This window comes from Homo sapiens, chromosome 5, assembly GCF_000001405.40.
Source record: "Homo sapiens chromosome 5, GRCh38.p14 Primary Assembly".
In the NCBI taxonomy this organism is placed as follows: domain Eukaryota; kingdom Metazoa; phylum Chordata; class Mammalia; order Primates; family Hominidae; genus Homo; species Homo sapiens.
Genome location: NC_000005.10, coordinates 159,640,332 through 159,654,584, shown reverse-complemented (window position 1 = coordinate 159,654,584; position 14,253 = coordinate 159,640,332).

The following is a 14,253-nucleotide window of genomic DNA, read 5'->3' as shown; positions in this document are numbered from 1 at the left end:
CACTTTAGCATCATTGGTATATTATTAAGCAATTAATATATACAAATAATATACATGCAATTAATTAGATATACCGAGATGTCCAGGGATTGGAAGTGAAGTCAGACTCTGGAATTGACAAACTCCAGCCTCATCTAACTGAGCAGGAATGCGGCATGCAGCACCCCAGACTGGATGGAACCAGAGGACCCATCAAAAGCCTGAGATGTCTGGCTCAGCAACATTTCTCACTTTTCAGCCTACTTCCAATTCAGTCCACATGGTCGAAAATTAAAACAAGTTATGAAGAACCATAACATTTAGATGCTGATGAAAAGTTCTCAAGTTTTCCTCAGCTATAAAGCTGAGTGTTGAGTAAGTTTTCCTCTAATTTCTTCAGCTATGAACAACAAACAATGCAGGCTGTACATTCAAGAACAAAATTTGGAATTGCGATCAAATGAATGAACAACAAAGTGAATCTGACATATTTAATGATAAATCTTATTGTTGTGTTGCATGGTAATTAGACAAAATGAGAAGTTTACATAATGGCTATAATTATTTATTCATTTACTTTCACATTGTTAAAGCAAACTTTTATAGATTTTCTCTTTTCACTTTGTTAGACGTTCTGCATTCATAAACAGTCTCTGTGTTAACTGTTTTCTCCAATGCTCCTTAAGATTTAAATGGAATCCTCATTGCACAAAGGTATAACTAGTTGCAAGCACACTCACGCATGTTAGCAGACAGAGATCTGGGGATGGAGTTTCCATACACTGAGTTCTTACATCTATCCATGCTCCTTCTCCTCCCTTTAGCTCCTGGGATGACTTCTGCCTAGAAAATCATGCCCAAGGCTTCTCCTCTACTTCTCATTTTCTCTTAAGGTAAGAGGTTCTAGATAAGAAAATCCATCTAGTCCCTTTTCTATAGAAGAATATTAACCACATTTGGTGACATTGGCTGCTATAACAAATAGATCTTCAATTGTGAAATGGCTCAAACATAATAGAAGCTTATTGTTACCTACCTATAAACCCAAGGCAGGTGTTCCTGCTTGATATGAGACTCTCTTCCATCCATTGATATGATGACCCACGGCTCTTTCTATCTTGTGGTTCCACTCCTCCCTAAAGGCTTGTCTTCATCGTTGGCACTGAGCTGACAAAAGAGAGAGCATGCACAAGAACTTGCTGCTTCATAAAAACCGTGGCCTGAGAATCATACCCACCTCTGTCATTAGAACTCAGCCATACAGTCACATACACAGCTTCAAGGGAGGCTCAGAAATGAGGTCAAGCTGTGTGCTGGGGAAGAAGAAGAAGAAACAGGTTTTGGTGTACAACTGGTCATCTCTGCCCTTTCTGAAATCATTGCGGAAAAAAGGAAGTAGAGTCAGCAAACCAGATGTAGACTGGAGATGGGTGAGGGGCAGGGAGGATGAGATGAGATATCAGAGAAAACAAAACAAAACAAAAAACTATAACATTAATTAGATAATTAGGGATACGGTCCTTAGAGTAGTATTATATTAATGCTTAATTTCCCAGATGTGACAGTTACGTTGTGGTGATGAAATTGAATGACCTTGTTCTTAGATGACACCTTCAGAAACGTTCAGGGGTGAAGTGCCATGATGGCTTCAAATGCTCCCCCAAATACACATACACACATATGCACACATACAGGGGGAGAGAGAGAAGAAGTGATTGTGCTAAAACATTAACAATTGGTGAATCCCAGTGAATTACATCCCAGGAGCAGCCGTCCTAGGTGTGAAATAGCGTGATGTGTGCTGAAATCAGGAAGCAGAACCGGGCTTCTGGAGCATGATGTGCCCAGCAACGAGGGCAGAGATGAGCCTAGAGAGTGGTAATGATTGTGATGGGGCTTGTATAGCATGAAGCTTGACTTCATCCTGCAGGCCAAGGGGAGCCACTGAAGGGCAGGGCAGGGACAAGGTCTCATGGGTATTTTAGGTAGAATGTGTTCAGGGTGGATTTCAGGGGAACAAGTCTGGATGAAAGGTAAGTATATCAGTCTGTTTAATGATGCTTATAACAGAATCCCTGGAACTAGGTAATTTATAGAGAAAATAACTTTTTTTTGTTACGGTTCTGGAGGCTGAGAAATCCAAGGCTGCATTTGGTGAGAGCCTTCTTGCTGGTGGGGACTCTCTGCAGATTGTCAGGGTGGTGCAGGGCATCACATGGTGAGGGGGCTGAGTGTGCTAGCATGCTAGTTCAGGTCTCTCTTCCTGTTTTCATAAAGCCAACAGTTCTACTCCCACAATAACCCATTAATCAATTAATCCATGAATGTATTAATCCACTCATGAGGGCAGAGCCCTCACCATTTAATTACCTCTTAAAGTTCCCACCTCTCAATATTACCACATTGGGGGTTAAGTGTCAGCATGAGTTTTAGAGCATTCCTTCAAACCACAACAGTAAATAATTTAATTCACACAGTAATTATTTGTACTTTCAGAAGCCAGCCCTGTGCTAAGGGCTGTGGATATGCAGAACTGGGGGAGCTACTGGGATATGTCTAAGAGAAAAATCAGACTTGGCTCCTGCCTTCTTGAAGTTTAGGGTCTAGTAAGTGAATATATATATTAAGCAATAATTATAAAAACAAGTGTGAAATTATAGCTGCGATGAGTTAAGAAGGAGACGTTCATGGTGCCTAGGATCCCATGATGACTATATTTTATTTTTGGTCAGGGAAGGCAGCATCCCAGAGAAAGTGATGTTTGAGCTAAGATTTACAGGATGAATAGGAGTTATTCACCAAGCAGAGGGAACAACATGGATAAAGCCTTTCTAGTTGGAAGAAGCGTGGCATGTTTGACAAATAGAGAGATCAGTATAGCTGGGAGGCAGTGAGTGAAGGAGAATATAGAAAATGAGACAGGAAAAGACAAACAAGGACCAGCCTTTGTAGGCCCTTGTAAGCCATCACCATGGATCTGGCCTTTACCCTGTGTGCACTGGGAAGCCATAGATGGCTTACAGGTATGTGAATGTTGGGGATGGTGACTGGCATAATTCCTGTAGCTGCAGAATGCAGAATGGATTACAGCACAAGATTCAGGAGCCCAGGTAGGAGGCTGCTATAGCCATCTTGAGAGAGATAATAAGGGAGGGAGACAGGGGATGGAGCCAAGAAGTCTCAGATCACAAAATGGGTAGAATTTGGTTGTTTGATTTAAGATGCCAAGGTCACAGGGTTGTAGTTGACAACAACTGGCCAGATGATGGTATCCTCAAGTGACAGAGAGAATTCCAAAGAGGAATCAGCTGTAAGGAATATGGTGAGTTCAAATTGCGACAGGTTGAGTTTGGAGTGCCAGGTGGAGTTATCTAGCAGAGAGTTAGATAAATGAGTCTGAAACTTAGGAGGTAAGCCTGGGCTTGAAATAGAAACTTGTGAGCACTCAACATTTAGATTTAGATTTGAGATGATGTCAATGCTTAAAGTATATCTTCGTTTAAGAAGAGGTCAGAGAAAGAGGAGCTCACTTCAGACACAGGGAAGCAAAGGCCAAAGACAGTCAAAAATAACCTGGAGATTGTGGAGTAACAAGAAGCCAAGAGTTTTGACTTTTCAGATTCCACAGTAAGTGCGGTCATGTGGTATTTGTCTCTCTGTGTCTGGCTTATTTCAATTAGCTTAATGTCCTCTAGGTCCATTCAGGTTGTTGAAAATGACAGAATTTTTTTCTTTTTAAAGGCTAAATAGTACTCTGTCATGTATGTAGACCACATTTTTAATCCACTTATCAATTGATGGGCACTTCAGCTATTTTGATATCTTGGCTATTATAAGTAATGCTGCAGTAAACATGACAGTACAGACATCACTTCGACATACTCATTTCAATTCCTTCGGATACATACCCAGAAGTGGAGTTGCTGGATCATATCATAGTTCAGTTCTTTTTTTTTTTTTTTTTTTTTTGAGACAGAGTCTCGCTGTATGCCCAGGCTGGAGTGCAGTGGAGCGATCTTGGCTCACTGCAACCTCTGCCTCTGGGGTTTAAGCAATTCTCCTGCCTCAGCCTCCCGAGTAGCTGGGATTACAGGCACCCACCACCACGCCCAGCTAATTTTTGTATTTTTAGTAGAGACGAGGTTTCACCATCTTGGCCAGGCTGGTCTTGAACTCCTGACATCGTGATCCACCTGCCTTGGCCTCCCAAAGTGTTGGGATTACAGACGTGAGCCACCACTCCTGGCCAAGTTTTGTATTTTTAGTAGAGATGGGGTTTCACCATCTTGGCCAGGCTGGTCTTGAACTCCTGACCTCGTGATCCACCTGCCTCGGCCTCCCAAAGTGTTGGGATTACAGGCGTGAGCCACTATGCCTGGCCAAGTTTTGTATTTTTAGTAGAGATGGGGTATCCCCATGTTGGCCAGGCTGGTCTCAAACTCCTGACCTCAGTTGACCGACCTGTCTTGACCTCTCAAAGGGCTGGGATCACAGGTGTGAGCCACTGTGCCCGCCCCATATTGTAGTTCTATTTTCAGCTTTTTGAGGAATCTTCATACTGTTTTCCAAAATGACTATATTAACTTATAATATCACCAATAGTGTACAAGCATTCCCATTTCTCCACATTCTCACCAACACTTTTTATTTTTCATCTTTTTTACAATTGCTGATCAAAAGTGGTAAGGTGATATCTCATTGTGGTTTTAATTTGCATTTTTCTGATGCTTCAAGATGTTGAGAATTTTTTCATAGATCTGCTGGCCATTTGTATGTCTTCTTTCAAGAAATGTCTATTCAGATCCTTTGCCTATTTTATTATAGGGTTACTTGTTTTCCTATTATTAAGTAGTTTGAGTTTCTTGTATATTTTAGATATTAACCCCTTACTCTATGAATAGAAGGTGGCAGGAGGATGTGAACGGGGACAAGGGAGATGTTTGCCAAAGGGTACAAAGTTTCCATTAGACAGGAGAATAGGTTCTGGTATTCTATTACATAGTATGGTGACTACAGTTAATATAATGTATTATATATTTCAAAATAGCTAAAAGAATGGATTTTAAATGTTATCATCACAAAAAAGGAAAGTTTCAGTAATGAGTATGTTAAGTAGCCTGATTTGATCATTCCACAATGTCTACATGTATCAAAACATCACATGCACCCCATAAATATATACAATTATTATTTGTCAACTAAAAGTAAAATAAAATACATTTAAACTAAGGTGTTAGAAAAAAGAACCCAAAGGGGTAGTGAGATCCAGGAGTTGTCAGATGCTCAAAAGGTCACCTGAGGAGAAGAACTGGAGAATGCCCATGTCCTGTAGTAGCTAAAGATATCACTGGGGACCTTGGTGACAACAGTTCAAGCACAGCAATGGGGCTAAAGTCAAAAGCCAGTGACATGAAGGTATAGGAAGAGAAGACAGTGGGTGTGAGTCACTCTTGAGGGGAGTTTGGATGACAGAAGACAGAAAGATGTTCAACAGCAGCCATGGGGATTTGGGTCTTGACTAGAAGCACTTCATCCCTCATCTGTCAAACTTGAGTGTATTTTAGCTGCCAGTTACTAAATAGACACATAAGAAATTAAAGCAGTGTCTTGCCCTCAAAAAGCATGTGCTCTGAAGCTATTTTCAAACTCGATTTCACGGAACCCTGGGTTTTAGAAACACCATTAGGAGAGGGGAGCAAAGGGAAGGCTGAGGTCTTGGGACTGTGACTGCTGTCTCTTCTCTGCACTTATCTTTTTCGTGGGTTTCCACATTTAAAATATTTTTCACAGAAATGCATTCTGTTGCTAAGGAAACAAGTTTGTAAAGTGGTGCATTATAGGATACAGCATTCTACACCAGAGGTTGGCAAACTTTTTGTCTGTAAAGGGCCAAATAGTAAATATTTTTGACTTTGCAGGCCATATGGTCTCTGTTACAGCTACTCTTGCTGTTGTAAGGTAAAAATTGCTGTAGAGAATATTAATGGGTGTGGCTCTGTTCCAATAAAACTTTACAAAAATAGGGGGTGGACTATAGTTTGTTGACCCCTGTTCTAGATGTTGATGAGGTGCAGCAGGGCTTTTTCTTTTTTTTTTTTTTTTGAGACGGAGTCCCGCTCTTTAGCCCAGGCCGGATTGCAGTGGCGCAATCTCGGCTCACTGCAAGCTCCGCCTCCCAGGTTCACGCCATTCTCCTGCCTCAGCCTCCCGAGTAGCTGGGACTACAGGCGCCCGCCACCGCGCCCGGCTAATTTTTTGTATTTTTAGTAGAGACGAGGTTTCACCGTGTTAGCTAGGATGGTCTCGATCTCCTGACCTCGTGATCCGCCCGCCTCGGCCTCCCAAAGTGCTGGGATTACAGGCGTGAGCCACCGCGCCCAGCCCAGCAGGGCTTTTTCAACCTATTCTTTCTGAAGGTATTTCTGTAAGACATAGCGTACAGTAAAAGAGTGACTATTCTGGCCAGTCTCAGTGTTGCTTAGTTCTCGGGATTCTCACCCTTGGCTTCCTGACTTTGGTTTCTCCCCAGCTGGAAGGCTGACCATCTCCCATCCCGCACTGCGGACTGCTAAAATACTAGTCTTTCCCCAACCCTACCTCCCATCTTTATCTTTTTACCCTCGGGTCTATTTTATTCTTCCTCTCAATTTAAAAGAAAGAAATTCAAAAAAACCATTCCTCAAACCAAGCAAAAACAATCTTTTAAAATGTTGGCTGAAGTGAAACCCCGTCTCCACTAACATAAAAATTAGCTAGGCTTGGTGGTGCGCACCTGTAGTCCCAGGTACTCGGGAGACTGAGGCAGGAGAATCGCTTCAACCTGGGAGGCAGAGGTTGTAGTGAGCCGAGATTGTGCCACTGCACTCCAGTCCGGCAACAGAGTGAGACTCCGTCTCAAAACAAACAAACAAACAAATATATATATGTTGAAGACAACTCCCTTCCTAGAACAAAAAACTCATGGAATGGGTTCTTATTAATAATTATTTGGGGAAGCATCAGCCTTGATAATTCTGATATTATGAGCCGAATGTCGCAGCAGAAATCAGCAAACAGAAGAATAGGGCTCCATGGGCCAGGCCCGGGCCAGGCCCTGACCAGGAGGGAAGCTGCCAGCTCCCTGGAAAATGAATTGGAGGCATTAGTAAATCTAGGTCGCGATCCGAGATCTGGAGCTGGGTAATAGGATGAAGACAGGCCAGGGGAAGGAGGCTTTTCCTATGCAAAAAGGAAACACCCTGTTTTCTTGCTTTGGAAAGTAGAGGAGGGTAAGAGATGGTAGAGGATGAAGGAGTCCAGGAATTGGCCATTTGGGAATCAGGCTGTCAGGTATGAGGACCTGCTGGCCTGACTTGTGATGGCTACACAGGCTGGGGAACGGGGCCCTTGTCCCACAGTATATTCCTCACTTACCTGGGACAGATGATGGATATTCTTCTTTTGGAATTTCTCTAGGAACGCCTTGATAAAGTGATAAAAGATCTGCTTAAAAACAGAAACTGAGACTTGAGAGTGCTGGAAGCTGTAACTGGCCCCTTCATGTGAAATTGGTTGGGGAAAGTCAGCTTGAGCCCTGGCAGGAAGGAAACGAGTTCTGATAGAGGAAGGCAAGCAGAGGGCAAAGGCTTCAGGAGTATGTAGTTGAACCAGGCAGAGGGGAGGCAAAAAGAGTAAATAGGATAGAGGAGAAGGGTGGGTGGAGGGAGGAGTGGGGAAGGAGAGAATGGGGCACCAAGACACTTTTTTTTTAAGGGCCAAAAGAAGTAGGAAAGAGGCCTTCAAAGTCACCTTCAACTCTGAAACTCCCAGCCTTTGTGACTACCATGCCCAGTGACTCCTTCACTTTTAATATGTTAAGAATGATCTCTGGCATTATTACAATGGCAAATTCCCACCCACCTGCAGAGATTCTCAATCAGGAAGGAGCCCCAGCGTTTTCCCATTTCCCATATGCAGCTGGTGATTCTGAAAACCACTGCCTTCCCAGCCACAATGACTGTGTTCAGGGAACCAGCCCTTGCACTAGAGCAGATGTCCTTTGATTTATTGAATGAAGGTATTTGGGTCTGGGGATTCTGAGTGTGACTGTGCCATCATTAGATCCAAGGGAATAAAAATACAGCTTCTCTATAAAAATATTGTTACTTCTAACATGTAATGTTTTACAAAGTTATTTCTCATTTGGTCCTCATAACCCAATGAGGTAAGCAAGGCAGGAATTATGGTCCCCATTCTACAGATGAGGCACTGAGCCTCTCAGAGACATTTGCCCAAGGTCATATGGCTAATAAATGTTGGAGCAAGGACTGGACAATGGACCTTCCCATCTCTCATCTGTTATCCTTTCTTTCCATTCCCTGCTTCTCACCCCATTTACCAGAATGCTCATGATTGGCAGATAGAGGCCACAACATGAGCATTTAGCTAACTTGGATTTGCAATTGGACCTGAGACTTTCAGACTTACTAATATCACATTGTGATGCAGTAGTAGCAGGTTAGACTCACCAAGGTTCTTGTTCAAAAATACAGATTTCCTGGCACCAGCCTAAATGTGCTAAATCAGACCCTCTGAGGGTGGGATCCCAGAAGCTGTAATTTTATAAAAGCTCTCCAGGTGATCCTGATGTTCAAAGGTTTGAGAAGCAATCTAATAAACTAAGCAAAGCAACCACAGGGACTGCCTAGTTCAAAATCGACTCTCAACTATTCCTGGACTCATTACCTAGGGAATGGATTACTCAGTGTTTACATTCTACCCTCACTCCCACCTCTGCCTCTAATTCTACACTTTCCCATTTTGGGGGTTCATTAGCAACATCTCTTAAGAGAAGAGAGAAACAACACAATTTAAATTAGTCTTTCAGTTTGGGAGTGCCTCTGATGGTTTCTCTTCCCCAACCCCAAATCATGGGTAGTCTGCCAGAAACCTTAGAGGGTAAGAGTGTGGTTTTGAAGCCTAATTAAAAAAAAAAAAATCCTGACTTTCACAAAAGGCAGTAGATGCTTCAAATACACCTGGTGCAATGGTTCATTCTGAGAGGGTTCTGCATGCAAAAGATCAACTCGTTCTCTAAATAGAATCTAGAGATACAAAGGAATCAGCAATAGCCTCACGTATTTGTACACAATGTAGTGTAGCTTCTGGTATTTTTATTACCAATCGGAGTAGGCTTGTCACCATCAGCCATCTGCTTGAGTCACTGCCCGGCTGCAATGGCCATGGCTTTAGAAAAGGAACACTGAAATCAAAGCCCCGGCTCATGGAAGAATCGCAGAGCAGGGAGTCATTTGTGACCTGCAAATGACATCCTGCAGTATCCTGAAGGACCTAGTCATATTCTATGTCAAGAAAACTCATCTACACACTTGGATCCTTAAAGATAACAGTGATTATGACATCGGATGGAAGCTGTAATATTTGTTCTCATGGAGGTGTTCAATATTTCAAAGTGGTCTCTGCAGTCCCATTAAAATTACAGACTCTTCTACCCCCCACCCCTGCTGCTTTCCACATTCTAATACAGGCTTCTGGGGAAAAAATGTGAGTGAGCTAGCATGGGATTTGTTTCCAGAGAGTCAGAGAAATCCTGACTCTGATTATTGGCCTTACATCCAAGGAATCAGCTTATTTTTTGTCTATTTTTTAAAATCAATATATGAAATCCTTTCATACAGATAGAAAATTTTCTGAATCTGAGATTATTGTTTGACTACCAAGTTAATAAGATGCTTTAAACTCTTTATTCCACATCTGAGCCTGACACCGGAGCTTTAGGAAGCAGAAAACAGCCTCTTGTGTCAGAGGCTGCATCAGTGAAAGTCTATAGCCTAAAATCAAGGCTCTTAAAAAACAAGATAAAAAAATAATAATTCAACTAGCACCAAAAAGAAAGGTGTTTGGAACTGGGGGTCACCAAAGAAAAACAGATTGCGAAAAATTATTTCGTGATCTGGAAACAATAATGAGTAGGCCCAGAAAGGGAAAAAAAGTATGAGTGAAATTCTAATAGGTAAAGGAAAGAACAAATGGCTGGTGTTGATGAAAGTGTAGTCAAACTCCCGCAAATACAGTCCGCCATGAAGAAGAGCAGTGATGATCTCAGAGGGTCTTAATTCATCGTGTAAATGTTCCTTGGCATCCATGCTGGGTAAATCAAGGACAAATTTGGTGGGGGAATATAATAGCTATTTATCTAGAAAACTCTCCCAGGTTTTTGGGAGGAGGTCAAGGAACAAGCAGAGGATAGATCCACTTCAGGGAAATGGCCAGCCTTGTACTAGAAAACACACCATTGACAGAAATCTGTCCTCATGCCAAACTTCGAGCCAGGCAAAGAACTTGAACTTGAAGATGGCTGGGCTTGGACCAGCAACTGTAGCTGCTGTTTCTGTGCTTTTCCAGGCCATCACAGCTAGAGGTGATCAGGAACACTTTACACTTGTGTGGCTGTATCCCTGAAACATTGTACAGCTAGTTTTCTATTTGTTTTCCTTTAGGGGGGAAAAATACAAAGTCTATTTCAAGACAACAGCCAGATTTAATCTGTTATTATTATTTCTTTGTGGTAGTCATCAAGAAGCAAAAGATTAGAAGTGCAAAATATCAATTATGCAATTTTAACTATTTTCAAAGGAAGACAAAATAAATGTCAGGTCCAACAAGGTCATGTGCCCCTTCAGCAAATAATTGTCTCCACGGGCCTCTTTTGACGTATTGAAACTGAAGTAGATTGTAATGCCTTTCATTTACAGAGGAGAATTTATGCCTGTGCAACATTATATAGTTTAGAGTCTAAAGCAAGCCCCCCCAGGCATTAGACACCCTTTCTGGGTGTTCATCTAAAAATAGGAATGGCCTTTCCAGCTACCCTTTGTAGAACACTGAAAGTGGTATGACAGAGGTGACTTCTAGGTCCATTTCATAGACTCTCTGACACTATTTCTTTTCTCTTTCAAACTTTCATGTTTTGGGAGAAGGAAGAATCTTATATTAAAGTTAAGAACATTGGGATATGTTTTCCAACTTGTATCTTAATCAAGACTCTTTGATTCTATGTAAACAGAAACTCACTCAGACCAAAATAAAACAGAGGGAATTTAGTATAGGAGTAAAGAAATGAAACCTCAGAACATGCAAGGGGGAACACATGGGCTCCGTGGAACCAGCAATGGCTTTTCAGTGGAAAGCCACTGTGAAAACCAAGGTTACTATTTGTAGCATGCTATTAGTTTTGTGCAAAAGTAATTACGGTTTTTGCCATTGACAGTGATGGTAAAACCACAATTACTTTTGCATCAATCTAATAATTCTCACATGTCTACACCTATTTGCAGGTGCAGACAATTGGAATTTACCAGATTTTATCACTCACTATGCCAAAGATGCTGTTCTATAGCCCTCAGCCACTGGAGACTAGTGCCTCTGAGTATTAATTCTAAATTCACTGTGGAGAAAATATAATGGACTGAGGTGAGGATCAGTGTCCACCTCTGTTTCAACGACTAGAACAAAGAAATAGAGTTGTGTAGTATAGACATGGCTGCTAGGACCCACCAATGTAATGTGTGGTAGAACTCGAGAATGGGAGGCTATGAGGTAGGTAGACACCTCCAAATGCACCTACTAAAATCTATTACTAACTTCTCTCCTTCAACAGGAAATATTGAGACCTGTTTGTGCCCAGTAAATTTTAAGAAGCCCTGGTCTCTAGTCGAGAAGTCGACAATTAAAAGAGGGACCAACACACACAGAAAATACAAGATTCAGGCAGTGTGAAAAGTCCTATAGAGAAGAGTCTTTCAACCTCTGCACTCTGGGCATTTTGGGCTGAGTAATTCTTTGCTGTGGGCTTAGGGTGGGAGTGAGGGCATTGTCCTGTGTATTGTAGAATGTTCAGAATATCCTTGGCCTCTGCTCATTAAATGCCAATAGCGCACTGTCTTCCACATCAGTTATAACAACCAACTATATCCCCATACATTGCCAAATGTCCCCATACATTGACAAATATAAGGGGACATTTGCCCCCTGGTGGGAACAACTACATGGAGCAATATGAAATCATAGAAAAGACACTAAAATCAGACCTAGAGATCCAGAAAATCTACCTAGAGAAAAGGTGCTGAAATGCAGTGTTGACGTTTTGAAAGACAAATAGGAATTAGCTACAAGAAAAAGGTTTGCTGGGTTGGGAAATTACAATGGGAACTCATGTTTTCTAATTCACGGTTCAACATTTTGTTCACTGCACCAGTGTTTTCCGAAGTGTGTTACTCAGGACACTAGTCCTTCAAAGTCCTCCTAGACATTCGGTGAATAGAGTTCTCTGATCAATCATTTAGATCCTTCTCTTGGAGATTCTAATGCATCCAATACATTTTACTGTATTTACTGTAAATGCATTGTCTAAAATAAAATGCATGGGAATTGGATCTGAGAAGTCCTGAGACAAGGCAATCTTTTTGCAGCACTCTTTGGTAAAGAATGTAGGCTTTGGAAAGAGATTCCTTTGATCTGCGTTATGATTCTACCACTGACCAGTGGCATTGTCACGAGATTCTCAGGGTGATGCTTTTCCAGCTGGAAACCTCTGTGGCCAGTGACACCTTTGCCTGAGTTTTGCTCGGGCCCACTGGGCTCATTCTGCCCACTCAGCCTGGTAAGCTGTGCTTGGCTTACACTACAGTCCTGGATCCTATGCCTGCCAAGGGTGAGTGGAATGGCGAGGGGTGTATGAGCCAGCAAGCATGGGGTCTGGCCACTGCACACAGCCAGGCATGCTGACTGAGGCGGGGCAGGCAGCTCCAGGTGCTGGTGAGGGTGCCAGCTCCCTGAGAGGCTGTGGCTGGACCAGGCATACAGCAAGCAGCTCCCACAGCTGGCACTGGGGAACGTGGTGACACCCAGAAACTTGGAGATTCCAGGAACCACAGAGCCCCAAAGAGAGTGTCACAGCCCTGGCTTAGGGAGCTCCTAGGCCTAGACTCCCCGAAGAGCAAGGGCTCTTCCTTCCTTCTTTCTTTTCTCCTTCTTGCTACCTGCAACATAGCAAGCAAGGGGCATGTTTCAGCCCTGTTTGTGATACAGCTCTTTTAGCCCTGCCATTCTTCGGGTTCCGAGTTCTTGTCCTACACCCAGGAAGAATGAGGTACAAAGAAAAGTGGAGGATGAACAAGGTGAAGAGGAGCTTTATTGAGCAACAGAAGAGCTCAGAGGAGATCTGCAGTGGGTAGCTGCTCTCCACAGGCAGGGTGTCCTGATGAGTATTCAGCTCTCAGCAGAAAGAAGACCCTGGAGTGGGTAGGTCCTTTCTGCAGGCAGGTCATCCTATTGAGTGTTCAGCTTTCAGCAGAGAGGAGACCGTGGAGTAGGTAGCTGTTTTCTGCAGCTGGTCATCTTGTCATCTCCCTGAGTCTGGGTTTTTTATGGGCTTCAGAGGGAAGGAAGTATGTGCTGATTGGTCCACGGACAACCATGGGCGGGCATGGAAAAAGCACCATAAATTCCCACTCTGTTCCACTGGACTGGCAGCCTGGCCTCCAGTCTTTAGGCCTTCCTGGGTTTGAAGGTGGGGCTTCACTGCGGACCCACCCCTTTCTGCCCTGGAGCCTGTCTGGCTCCTGTGGCTGTTCATGGCACCCAGGTAGTTTGTGCTGAGGGGCACCTGCAGGCCAGCGCCAAGCTGCCCTCAGCCCGCCCCCCTGCCAGCCTCCCTCCCACGCACATTGGCACCCAAAGTCTAGAGTCAGTGCTGCCCTGAGTGTACACACACCCAGTGGGTTGCAACAGTGTCCAAACTCAGCCTCAGCTTTGTTCCGAGATTGGAGCAGTTGCCAGGAGCTGGGAGAGGCCAGGCAGTGGGAGCAGGCACTTCCAAGCCTGTGGGGATCACGGGGTGAGCTGTGCCTTCCTGGGTGAGCGAGAGTGCAGAAATGCCTGGGTCTGCAGCCACAACTTGGGCGGCTGCAGCTGCATCTGGAAGGGTGGGGCTCCTGCCTGCTCCTGGCCCCCAAGAACATGAGAATGCCTGGGTCTGGAACCATAGCTGGGCAGCTGCAGCTGCACTCAGGGAGCACGAGGCTCCTACCCTGCCAACTTGGAATAGGGTGGGGTTTCTGCCTGTTCCCAGCTCCTTGCTGCACCTGTCCCACTGCAGATGGCATCATGGCAGCAGCCACTCCAGATGAGCCACTGCTACCATTAGTATGTCATTGAAAAAGTTATTTAACCTATCAAAAGCTTGGGTTGCTTATCTACATAAACAAGATGATC